This window comes from Homo sapiens, chromosome X, assembly GCF_000001405.40.
Source record: "Homo sapiens chromosome X, GRCh38.p14 Primary Assembly".
Taxonomy (NCBI): Eukaryota; Metazoa; Chordata; class Mammalia; order Primates; family Hominidae; genus Homo; species Homo sapiens.
In genome coordinates this window covers 148414964-148428605 of record NC_000023.11, presented here as the reverse complement: position 1 = coordinate 148428605, position 13642 = coordinate 148414964, and the positions used below count along the sequence as shown (strand labels likewise).

Genomic DNA, 13642 nt, shown 5'->3' with positions numbered 1-13642 from the left:
AGGACATAGAAGTGTATGGTTTATAGAAGGTGCTAGGATTTGAATGTGCCCCTGCAAAATTCATGTGCTGCCAATGTGATAGCATTAAGAGATGTGGCATTTAAGGGGTGATTAGGCCATGAGGGCTCCTCACTTGTGAGTGGGATTAGGTACTCTTTATAAAAAGGCTTGATGGGGGGAGTTTACCCCCTTTACCTTTCTACCTTTTGCCACGTGAAGACATAGCTTTCCTCCCCTCCAGAGGATGCAGCATTCAGGGCACCATCTTGGAAACAGAGACCAGACCCTCACCAGACAACTAAACCTGCTGGTACCTTGATCTTGAACTTTCCGGCATCTAGAACTGTGAGAAATAAATGTCTATTGTTTATAAATCACCCGGTCTGTAATATCTTGTTATAGCAGCACAAACAAAGGCCGAAGGTGTGCAGAACACATCTCTTGCGTGAATGAATGCATTGTCTAGAGTTGGGTCTCATGTCCATTCCTCAACCAACAGTTAGCAAGTAAAATACAGTTACCTGTATACTAAGCATGCCCATTCTTGCAACTATGGCAGCATCAGATTCCTTTAAGACACAGAGTTGAATGGGAGACAGTTAAACACATGAACACAAGCAGTGTCCCATTTAGGCAGGAAGAGGGAATTCACGCTATGTAGTCAGTTAACAGTGTCCACCATGTAGGATGAGGAGATAGGGTAACAGAAAGGATGCTTTAAGTAAAGTGATAAAGTAAAGACCTCTCTGAGTAGAAGACATTTTATCTGAGATCTGAAAGATTAGGATGATAACAAGATCTGGGGAAAAGCTTTCCAAGCTGAAGGAAAAAGTCCATGCAAAGGTCTTAAAGAAGATAAGAGCTTTTTGTGTTTCAAATGCTGAAAAGAAAGCGGTTTGACTAGATCCCAGAAAATAAAAGGGAAGAGTGGGATGGGGTGAACTGGAAGAGGGAGGCTATGCCATCTCCAAGCCTTGAATGCCAAGATCAGTGATGTGAGGAGGTAATAAGAAGCCACTGACAGGGTATATGCAGGGGAATGACATGATTTGTCTTATGCTTGAAAACACTGACTTTATCTGCTGGGTTGAAAATAGGTTGTAGCAGGACTAGATAAGGAGTGCGAAGACCAAGCTACTGACCTGGTCAGAGATGACAGCATCCTCCTCTTCCTGAACCTTTATAATAGCCTCTAACTGGCTTCACTGCTTCCACACTCTTCCCCTTCCACTGTTCTTTGTATTGATACCTTGGCAACTTTTCTAATGTTACTACTTTGATACTCTGCCCAGTACAGTCAAGGCAATTCCCCACTCCCCACTGGCAGAATCAGGTCCAAACTTCTTATATTCCATTTCAAAGGCTGCACACACCTAGACAAAGGGGTACTTTGTCTAATTTGCAGAACAGTATGAAATGGGGGTGGATCTGTTCTCCATATGTTATTGGCTGACTCTAATTCACCGTTTAATCAGCTAAGGCAGCAGCACCTTCCCACAGAACCAGGACCCTCGTATTGCAAGTTATGTGACTAGTGTTCCTCAGAATCATGCAATGTGGTGGTCCTGCCTGAAGTCCCAGGCTGTGCTAGTTGCACCTTGTCTGTCTTCCCACAGGCCTGAATATGCTGAATTATATGAGCCTTCCTACTTGCCTTCCCCCTTTCACTAGAAATTGAATGCCCCTGTGATGTTTTCTCCTCCTCCACCTCCTCCTTCTTCTTCCCTTCTTCATCACCTTTATATCACCAGTATCTTTACCGTGCCTTGCACAAAGTAGGTTGCCAGTATTATTTTTACTTGAACTAGGCTAGATTCCCTGGAGTGTAATGATCGACTCCTCTCTGTGTCCAACATAATAAAGGACCTTGCAAAGAGTAACTGCTCACTAAATGCTCCTTACATTGAACCCATTATTTACTCAAAGGCCTCCTGCAAGCCCTGTTGTTATGAATGTAATGGGGATTTGTGTTACAAAGCACTGAACAAGGTCACGCCCCAAAGCTAAACTTACACTCTTACCCCAGTTGAAAGGAAATGCCTTCTGATTACTCCTCTCTCATCACAAAATCTCTCTAAGTACCCTCCAAAAGCAACTGCTCCTGAGAATCACATTCAAACATGGATCCAATTCCAGCTTTGTGGTATCCAGATCCACATTACGAAAGACACAAATATATGCCTGAAGATATTTTCCAAAAATTTCCACCCTTAGTAACCTCCCCTCCCCTTAGGAGCTAAGAGGTTTTGGTATCCCTCAAAAATGAGAGATTATTTACGGGAGAACACATGTCTACTTACAAGAAAATGCTTCAAAAGTATACACAAAAAACTCAACCCACCAGCCATTTGTAGTATAGATAGAAATCATCAAATACTATACCACTGATTAAGATATTTTTGTGTGTTTTTGTCAACATTTATATATGCGTTTTGATGCTTGGTGTGATAACTTTTTTTTTTTAAGTGTAATTTATCAAATTACGCCCAGGAAAAGAAAGCCATGGCTCGTACTTGTTATGGGTTGAATTGTGCCAAAAATAATTTGTTAAAACCCTAATCCCAAGTACCTCAGGAATGTCATCTTATTTGGAAATAGGGTCATTGTAGATGTAATTAGTTAAGATGAGGTCATACTGGAGTAGAGTGGGCCCTAATCTAATATGGCTGGTATCCTCATGAGAAGACAGAAATTTGGACAAAGACGCAGAGACACACAGTGAGAAGGCCACATGACAATGAAGATAGAGATTGGAGTAATGCAACTACATGCCAAGAAACACCAAGGATTGATGGGCTAAGAGGCAAAGAAGGGTTCTTCTCTAGCGCATTCAGAGGAAGCATGGCTCTACTGATCCCTTTATTTCAGACTCTGGCTTCCAGAATTATGTGAGAATAAATTGCTATTGCTTTAAGCCACCAAGTTTGTGGTACTTTATTACAGTAGCTGCAGGAAACTAATAGAGTTCTTCATGCCATTTTAAAGGAATAAAAAGGAAACAATGACTGAGTAGTACAGCAGTGCATTTGGAAGAATACTGGGTTAAGTCATCAGACGACCTACGTATGATCCTGAACTAGTATTAAGACTCAGTTTCTTCATCTATACAGTGGGAATGTGGACTGGCCAGCTTACCTTATAAGACTGTTGTCTGTTGTAAAGATCAAGTAAAATAATGTGTGGAAGTCATTTGAAATCTGTAACATCAATCCAAATGTGAAATATCATTACTACCATTAAAACTAGTAATTTATTTGATTTAAATAAATCCTCAAATAATATCAGTAAATTTGTTTTTTTTAAAAAAAATAGCATTTAGAAAAGAAAACCTTCAAAATTGAGGAATGTAGGTCTACTGTGAAAGAGAGGAGCCCCAGAGTTCTGATTAAGATGAAGGAAAAATATTTAATTGGTCCCAGGTGTGTGTGCATGTCTGCCTACTAAAATTTTTTTTGTTATTGTTCTTTTGTTAACAATCCAGGATGTAAAAAAATTAAGCCCATCAATTTTTAAAAATATCTGAGATAATTCTTTCAACCCCTTGGCATTGTTAGATGAGAGTAAATTGCTACTACATATAAAAGGTTTCTTTTTTCTATTTTGGTGACATTTTCACAAAGATCTTTGATTTTATAGGGAGTTTTAGTCACTTTTACTATTAAGAAAACATATATCAAAATTGCATTTGTATAAGGTTTCAAGTCTAAATCTATAACACAAAAATAGAAAAGTGAGTCATAATTGGCTAAAGGTACCCCTTAGTTATGGAAAGGGCCCCAAAATGGAAAGGTGAATCATTTTCTTAAATGACAAAGAAAGAAGACAATCTAGCCCATTTTCAATCTCAAGATCTCTTACTTCCACAACCCTACTCAACACACCTGTGCATACAAAAGAGAGGGGGGAAAACACTATAATGTAGGAACTAAAAATACATCGCAACTGCTTCAGGACCTTCAAGCACTCTACCTTCCCCTGTGACTCCGGGAATACTCCTATGTCTGAGGACAAAGAACTTTTAGGGGCTTTCTAAATTTAGTATGTTGTGTAGACTGATAAATGATGACTAGATGTTACCACCAAAACCATAGCTTTGGCTTCCACTATTCAAGGCTATTCAACATTTAAGTAACAACTGGGGTAACAAACAGAGGATATCTGTTTGGATAGAATAAGCATCAAATAAATGTTTGTTGCTGCTGTTGATGCCAAAACTAGAAAAGCAAACATGTCCATTGAGGATGATGATAATGATGATGATGATAACAATGGCTAAAAATTACTGAGGCCCTATGTGATGGTTAATTTTATGTGTCAACTTGACTGGGCCATGGGGTGCCCAGATTGAACTTTATTTCTCAGTATGTCTTCAAGGGCATTTCTGGATAAGATTAGCAGTTAAATACAGGGATTCAGTAATAAAGAGGATTGCTCTCCTCAGTGTGGGTGGGTATAATCCAATCCACTGAGGGTCTGAATAGAACAAAAGGTGGAGGATGGAGGAATTTGCTAGCCCCCCCTTGCATTTTGTTTTCTGTATCACAGCTTGAGCTGAGACATCTCATCTCATCTTCTGCTCTTGGACTAGGAATTATACTATTAGCTCCCATGGTTCTCAAGCCTTTAGGCTCAGACTGGAATTATACTATTAGCTTTCTTGGGTTTTTAACTTGCAGACAGCAGATTGGAGGGCTTTTCATCCTCCATAATCATGTGAACCAATTCTTCATAAGAAATATATATATATATGTATGTATATACACACACTATATATATACATACATATATATATATATTTATATATGCTATTAGTTCTGTTTCTTTGAAGATCTCTGACTAAAACAGCCTATTATGTTTCAGAAACTGCACTAGGCACTTCATGTGCACTTTACATTGACTTTAATTCAATTTAAGAAATTTAACACTCAGGACACCATTGAAGTTTAGAAATGCAAGGTGACTTCCTCAGTGTCACACAAGCCAGGACTCCAGCCCAGGTCTGGGTGGGTCCTAAATCCACTGTGCTCTCAATTAGACAACTTCTGGGTCTGGTTTTGCTTTTTAAAAAGTTTCTTTATAAAAAGATAAAAAAAAAATCCATAGTTTTTTATATGTTTATTTGCTCATGCACATGAAATCATATTGGCTTCATTTTACAGATGAACTAAAGCTCAGAAAGATTAACCAGCCCCACACTACAGACCTAAAAGTGAGGAAGGCAAGGCTATAACTAGATTTGTCTGTCTCCAAAATCTACATTTTTTATTGGCCGATCTCTTTTTAAAAAGGCACAGTAAATTGTTCCGTCCCCTCTCCTCCCCTCCTCTCCCCTCCCCTCCCCTCTTCTACCCTCCCTTCCCTTCATCTCTTCCCTTACCAGAGCAGGGACTCTCTCCACATAAACAAAAGGAAAACCATGGGCCAGGGTATGGTCAATACCTCAACATATCCAGACATCACAGCACCAGAACACCAGTACGTATATTCCACAAGAAATTAAGATACCAGCCAAAGCCTCAGAAAGGCCTTCCCGAGAAGATACATGGGGGCAATGGGTACATCACTGAGGGCCTTAGATCACAACAGAAGATAGTGGAGGTCTTTTCCCATCTTCATTGCGAAGCAGCTGCTCAATGATAAGAGCCATATAGAGTCTTCCAGAAAGAAAGTGGTCCAAAGTAATTAGGAGAGCATCAGATATCAATGTTGGAAACAAAGTTATCAGAAAGAGCATCTGGGAGAAATCATATTATGAGTCATTTGGGATCTATTTTTTTTTGATATTTGACTCAGAAGGAGCCTTTACGTAGTTTCAAGGCTTTGGATTGTCAAAGCACCCTGAACAGCTGGTCACGTTGAACCTTGACTGGCATCTGTGGTGATTCCACACTTGGCATCCCTCTTATGACTCACCACCACTGACTACATTTTTGCCTCAGCCTGTTAGGGCAACTTGTTCTCTAGAGTAGGAGAGTTGAGGGTTTCCAGGTACAATATCGCATGTAACTTCCAGTGAAAATCTTAAACATTTCCTCTGCAGTTATCATTGCCTTAACCAAAACACGATTTTCCCTTAAAATGTCATTGTTTAACATTACTCTTCAGTGAAGGCTGCTCACTTTTCCACAGTACTCACTCCACAGGATAACATATAAGCTATCTCTCTCCCTGCTCCCCAGCATAACTTCCATAAATCTTCTTTAGCAACCCCTCTGTCCCTGAAGCCTATGCCATCTGGTTAGTCTTACTTCTTCTCATCTTCTGCATTATTAAATAAAAAAAAATACTGAGTATCTACTGTGTGCCTTGCACTAGGCTATGTACTTTGCACACATTGTCCTAAATAATCCTCACAATTTCCCCATGAGCTATCTATTATTATCCACGAGGGATCATATACCCTTCCCAAGGTCACACAAATAGCAAGTGGTTGCATGAGCTATGAACTTGGATCTGTCTGGTTCTAAAGGCCATCTTGACTACTAACCTGTGTAGAGAAACAATGACAATCCTGCATGGTAAGGGCAATACTGGGGACATATAAATGGTACAGTGTGGAAACACAGTGACTGGCATGGAGAAGCTGCCTGTAGAACTCAAAAGTCTTCAGAGAAGAGCTGAGGAGCTGAGATATGAAGGGTCATTCCCCAGGAAGAAGGGGAATAAGGCAGAAATGCATTCTATTCATAGGATGCAATAAGTGTTAAGGCCTGAATGTTCACACTGCATTATAATAAATAAGAGTAGTTAGTATGGCTAGGATATTGTATCCATGTGGGTGAGTAGCAAGACACACTGTTTAAAAGGTAGATAAATCAGTCTGGGTCACAAGGAGACCTGGAAACCTTGTGAGGGGGCATAAATGTTTCCAAAAGGCAATGGGCATAAATCCCCTTAAGGGTTTAAAGCAAGTATGAGATTTGTACTTTTGAAAGCTCACTGTGGTAACAGTGTGAGACAAATTTTAGCAGGGAAGCTAGGAGGCAAAAAGGTGTTAGGAGACTGGTCATCCAGGTAAGAGAGGATGGTTGTCTTGTGATGGAAAGAAGGAAACAGATTCAAGAGATAGAAAGAATTTAGTATAATGAATAAGTACAAAATTAATGTACTCAAATCAGTACTTTTCTATATACAAATAGTAGCTGTTTAGATTATATAATGGAAAACAATTCCATCACATTAGCAACACAAAGATAAAAACCCAAAGGATAAACGTTATTAAGTCCTTGGAATTATCATTTTGAATAGTCCTGTAAATAAATATATAAAACTCTATAAAGGGGCTAAAAGAATAATTAACGGAGAAACATACCTTGATTTTAGATAGGAAGACTCAATAGCATAAAGATATTGATTCTCCATGTATTAATCTATAAATTTAACATAATCCAAATTAAAATTCCACCAGGATTTTTTTTGGAGAAACTTGTGTCTAAACAGTTATCTGGAATACAAACATGCAAAACGATATAGCGCAGTGGTTAAAATCATATCCCCTTGAGTCCAAAAGACCATAGTCAAATCCTGATACCCCTCCCCCCATACATGCCTACCACTAGCTTCATGAACTTTAGCAAATTTTGTAACCTCTCAGTTTCCTCATCTGTAAAATGGAGATGATAGCATGTACACTCTAGAGTAGTTGTCAGAATTAAATGAGGAGATATATGTAAATAAAACACAGTGATTTGCATGTGTTAAATAAATATCACTTATTGTTATGACTAATGAATACATTACATTGAACCATATGAAACTGACATTTTTATAGATCAAAAATGGTCACATATTGGCAATTTTATGTGATTCAACCTAATATATGACAAAGATGCAGGGCTCCTCGTATATAAATAGTTCTACAATGTTGAAAAAAACATCCTAATAAGGAAATGATCAAATAAACAAGCAGAACAAATTTTAAATGGCCAATAAGTATACAAAAGTGGTCCTATCACTAACATAAACATATAAATCAAAATAATTATGAGGTATTATTTTGGACTTACATTGGCAATAAGTTATGATAAAATGTTAAGTATTTGCAAGGCTATGTGGTTACAGGTGCACCCAAATCCTATTGGCTTTTGAGGGTGGTGGTTAAAAAACATGGATTTCAAAAGCCAAAGTGCCTGGATTTCAATTCCATCTTTAACATAGAGCTAGCTGTGTGAATTTGGGCAGAAAATCATATTTCTCTTTCCCTGAGTTTCTTAATGTTTAAAGTTCACAGTCTCTGTCTTAAAAGTTTTTGTGAGGATTAAATAAGTTAATTTATGTAAAACCCTTAGAACAGGCTGTGTGTTAAGTGTTATGTAACAGTTAAATGTTATGTAAGTTATTTATTTATTTATTTATTTTTGGCTTTTTAAAAATATTTATTTTAGGTTCGGGGGTACATGTGAAGGTTTGTTACATAGGTAAATTCATGTCATGGGGGGTTGTTGTACAGATCACTTCATCACCCAGGTATTAAGCCGAGTACCCAATAGTTATTTTTTCTTCTCCTTTCCCTCCTCCCACCCTCCACTCTTTGATAGGCCTCAGTGTGTGTGTTGTTCCCCTCTATGTGTCTATGTGTTCTCATCATTTAGTTCCCTCTGATAAGTGAGAACATGTGGTATTTGGTTTTCTGCTCTTGAGTTAGTTTGCTAAGGATGATGGCCTCCAGCTCCATCCGTGTCCCTGCAAAGGACATCATCTCATTCTTTTTTTGTGGCTGCATAGTATTCCATGGTGTATATGTACCACATTTTCTTTATGCAGTCTATGGGTATTGAGGTTGATTCCATGTCTTTGCTATTGCAAATAGTGCTGCAATGAACATTTGCATGCATGTGTTTTTGAGGGAGAATGATTTATATTCCTCTGGGTATATACCCAGTAATGAGATTGCTGGGTTGAATGGTAGTTCTGCTTTTAGCTCTCTAAGCAATTGCCATACTGCTTTCCACAATGGTTGGACTAATTTACACACCCCATCAGCGATGTATAAGTATTCCTTTTCTCCACAACCTTGCCAGCATCTGTTTTTTTTTTTTTTTAACTTTTTAATAATATCCATTTTGACTGGTGCATGATGGTATCTAATTGTGGTTTTGATTTGCATTTCTCTGATGATTTAGTGATGTTGAGTATTTTTTCACATGTTTGTTGGCTCCTTGTATGTCTTCTTTTGAGCAGTGTCTGTTCATGTCTTTCGCCTATTTTAATGGGGTTATTTGCATTTTGTTTGTTGAATTAAGTTCCTTATAGATTCTGGATATTAGACCTTTCTCAGATGCATAGTTTGCAGGTATTTTCTCCTATTCTGTAGGTTGTTTACTCTGTTGATAGTTTTGTTTGCTGTGCAGAGGCTCTTTAGTTTAGTTAGATTCCATTTGTCAATTGTTGTTGTTGCTTTTGGTGTCTTTGTCATGAAATCTTTGCCCATTCCTATGTCCAGGATGGTATTTCCTAGTTTGTCTTCCAGGGAATTTTATAATTTTGGGGTTTATATTTAAGTATTTAATCTAGCTTGAGTTGACTTTTTGGTGTAAGGAAGGGGTCCAGCTTCAATCTTCTGCATACGGTTAGCCAGTTATACCAGCACCATTTATTGAATAGGGAGTCTTTTTTCCCATTGCCTGTTTTTGTCAGCTTTATTGAAGATCAGATGGTCACGTCTTTCTTCATCATCTCCGTATCCAACTGATCAGGTTCTCCCTCTTCGGTGTGGAAACACAAAAAAAATTGCATTCATGTCTTCATTTCCATTATCACCACCATTCAGGCTCTCAATATCTTATCATCATTTCATAACCTCATGATTACCTCCAATTTATCCTGTATCTCCTCTCTCCCCACCATCCATCCTTCCATACCACCACCTACTTTTTCTTACTTAACCTCAAGACAGATCACATCTATCTCCTACCCCAAAATGTGCAACGCCTCCTTAATGCCTACAGAATAAAGCATGGAATTCAAGACAATCTAAATGTCAGTATAAAAATTCATGCCTTTGTGACTTTCCACACGCTGCTCTCTCAGCCTGGGATGCTGTTTCTTCAGTTCTCCATCTCTTGCAATCATACCCTTCCTTAAGTCACAGCTCAAGTGCCACTTCCTCTGTGAAGCCTTGCTTGATCATTTGATCATCAGTTCCATTCCCTGCCCCTACCAAGTCAGATTTATTTTATTCTATGCTCTGAGCTTCCATAGCCCATCTACTGTTCCTATTCATTTACTGCATCCTGTGTGGATTAGTAATTATGATTTACTTGTCTCCCCCACTGGTATGGAAGCTCCTTATGAATAAGAACCATCCATCTTTATTCATTCTTCTTATTTCCCACATGGCACAGAGCTTGCCTTCTAGGAGATCGGTTCAGGCTTATTGAGTCAGAAACTAAACAGGATCATTTAAAGCCATAGACCACATTGAGTAATAAAAAGGATGACTTATCAGTTTTCTGCTTCTGAGAAGATGGAATGCCCCTACTGAAACCCAGCCAAAAGTCCATCTGGGTGTTTTTCTAGTTAGGTCTACTTCCCCCAGGGCTCAGCCACAAGGTGTAGTTGATCGGCTACATATCACCCAAAGTCTCCGTCTCAGACTTGTGTGTGGATAGAGATGTTGTGAATGGTTGAGAAGCAGGTCTTGGATGGCCTTTCAGAAGGATGCATTATTTTGGTGATTTATTGGTTTCTGAGTAAGTTTAAGCCCTAAATACAATGGCATATTAATAAGTTTTATTTATTCAAGAAACTATTTACTTTCTCCATTACCCCTGTCATAAAAGATTATTCTTCCTTACAATTTATCACGTTTCTTTAGTTGGAAGTCATCAAATTAAGGTAATATGTGGCCATTTAGGAAAAGAATCTATACACACAACTAAATCAACTGTTGAGACTGTCATGTCAATCAATAAGATACAGACAAGTGTTTAACACATAGAGTAAGCAAATGTAGATGTGGGGTAGTGAAAAGAAGATGAAGTTCAGGATCAAAGATATATGAGTTTGATTCCTGGCTCCACCACTTCTAGCCGTATGACCTTGGATCAGTCACTTAGGCTCTTGAGTCCTGGTCTTTCTCTCATCTGTAAAATGAAGAAAGACAAATGGTTCCCTTGCAAGCATGTAATGATGAGTAAATGCAATAAGGCTCATAGAAGTGGTTCATGAGGCCCTCTGCAAAACTTAGTTATCATTATTTTTCAAGTAAAAAGGCATTTATAGATGAGTTAATGTGACATTCTCCTTTTGCCCATGAGGATACTTAGGCTTAGAGAAGGGAAGCGGTCCCACAGCTAGTTAGTGGTCGAGATCAGTTTAGAATCCAATTTTCTGGCCTCCTACCTTCTTGCCATTATATCATACTTCCTTATAGACAAGGGAAGCAAAGTAGCTAACTGCTTCCCAGAACTTAGGACAAAATGGACTAGTTCCGATGAGGTGTTGACACCATGACTCATCTTGGAGGCAAATGTAATTTTCTTAGTACATGCTCTTTTCTTCCCTAAGATCGCTTTTCTAGACTTCCATGAGAACACATTTATCCTACTGAGTCACTCCTGCCTTGCAGCTCACTGAGTCAGAATCTTATCTGTCCACATCAGAGGTTCAATTTTTTGTCAGGAATAAGATGAAATGAAAAAGAGACACAGATGCACAGAGAGGCCATCACTTTTCTATCCTTGGGGCATAAAGTAATTTGAATAGAAGAGCACTAAAGAGGGACACAATCACTAATTTTATTGCAGTATTAGTGCCTGCTGTGGAAATAAATTGGTAAAACAAACGTAAATAGTGTCATCTGGGGGTATATAGTAGTCAATCACTAGTATTTGTAAGGTGCAGTAGAGAGTAAGGGTATCTGATGGGAGGAGAGATAACCTAGGTTCTGGTATTCATCCTACTAGCAGTGTGACCTTAGACATGTCTCTTAGCCTCAAAGAACCATAGATATGGATGCTAGTTTTGCCAGCTTCCCAGGACTGAGTAAGTTTTAAATGCAACACATGATACATGTGTGGGGATTCAAGGAGATAAGGAATCAAAAGCCCCTAGTCAGTGCCAGACACAGTCGGTTTAGCTCAATAAATATTAGCAACTAGTGTTATTATTGTTATTGTTATGACTGTCATTGTTTAGCAGCTCTATCTTATATAACTACTTCCCCATAGTAACTACCAATAAAGGTTTTAAACAGTATGAGACCACACATAAGTAAGAGGTGGAAGTGAAACAAGAAGAAAGGGAAGGCAAAGTTCAGAAGCCGCAAGGGATGATGGCAAAGAGCTTGGGCTCCAGGGAACTTGGATCTGAGGTAGAAGCCAGGCTCCATATTCTAATTTGAAGGTGCATCAGCAGGCACAAGGTACTGACTCAATCCAAGCCTCAGGCTGCTCATCCACAAGCTGAGATCATAGGCCCTTCTGTATGAAGCTCTTGTGAAGGCTAAATGAGCTAGACTGTAGAACGTGTCAAATGCCTAGCACAGAGGAACTGTTGGGTAACTTGTTGAAGCAAAAGGATATACATCAAAGAACACTACAAACTCTAAAGTGATATAAACATGTAAGAAATTATTATAACAAGGACAAAATTCTATGCAAAACACTAACGCTTAGCTAATTGCTTAAGTATTATGGGAAAATTCATTATACTGTCCAAATGTAAAACATGCTCATTTACAGCAGTTTCCCCTACAGCTGTGCCAGTGGTGAGGTAGAGAATATTTGAAGATTTATTTTAAACACAGCTGCTTTATGTATTATTGTCAATTTTCTCCATTTTCTTCAGTTTGAACCTTTGAACTCCATCTTTTATGTTTCTAAAATGGTCAGAACAGTAGACATTTGATGAAGGTAACTCACAAATGCGCAAGTGAACACTCCAAAGTGAGATAGAATCCATATGAATTCCTTTTCTCTAAAAGTCCATGGTTTGTCCCAGATAATTGCTCTAAAATCATTAGCCTTAATTTATGGAATATTGCAGAAAAGAAAGATAATTTGCCTTCAGAACTTATTTGGGGATATCTTTTTACAAACGGCTACTGCTGTAACTAAGTTTCCTGATAATTAATATTTGGGGAGAAATACAGTGTTATAGATAACTATTTTAATAGTTGTAATATTGTAAAACTGAGATCTCAGTGAATTGTACATATATACATATGCAAACACACACATACATATTCAGCACAAACATACACATACATACATAAACAGTATATATACATACATGTATACAGAATATCTATATACTTCATATATACATACATATATACTGTATATATGTATGTGCATGTTTGCATATGTATATATGTACACCCATGTTTTAACTATATGCTGACATGCATATATAGTTAAAACCCGAATGAGTTAAAGGTATCTTTGGTAGCTCTTTGGGGTTCAACCTTATTGCAAAGCTTGGAATTTAAGAATTTATAATTAAATGCACCTAGAAGATCATATTAGTCTGAACTTCTATTGAAACTAGAAACTCCCTCTACAGTCTCTCGAGCAGATTCCCCTACAGTACCTTCCAGTCACAAAGCAGCCTGTCCCAGCTTCATTTTGAGAAATGACTATCTTATGCAGAGCTCCAGCATTTCTTCTTATTCATTTCTATAGAGCAGAGACTTGAGGAT

General features: G+C 38.2%; 1 annotated feature.

Annotated features, from left to right (window-relative positions):
- Positions 1482-2337: an enhancer, noted in NCBI's record as "OCT4-NANOG-H3K27ac hESC enhancer chrX:147507788-147508643 (GRCh37/hg19 assembly coordinates)". NCBI's record gives its function as "activates a minimal SCP1, AML or CMV promoter by ChIP-STARR-seq in naive and primed H9 embryonic stem cells {active_cell/tissue: H9 hESC(naive and primed)}" and the evidence as "EXISTENCE:reporter gene assay evidence [ECO:0000049][PMID:30033119]".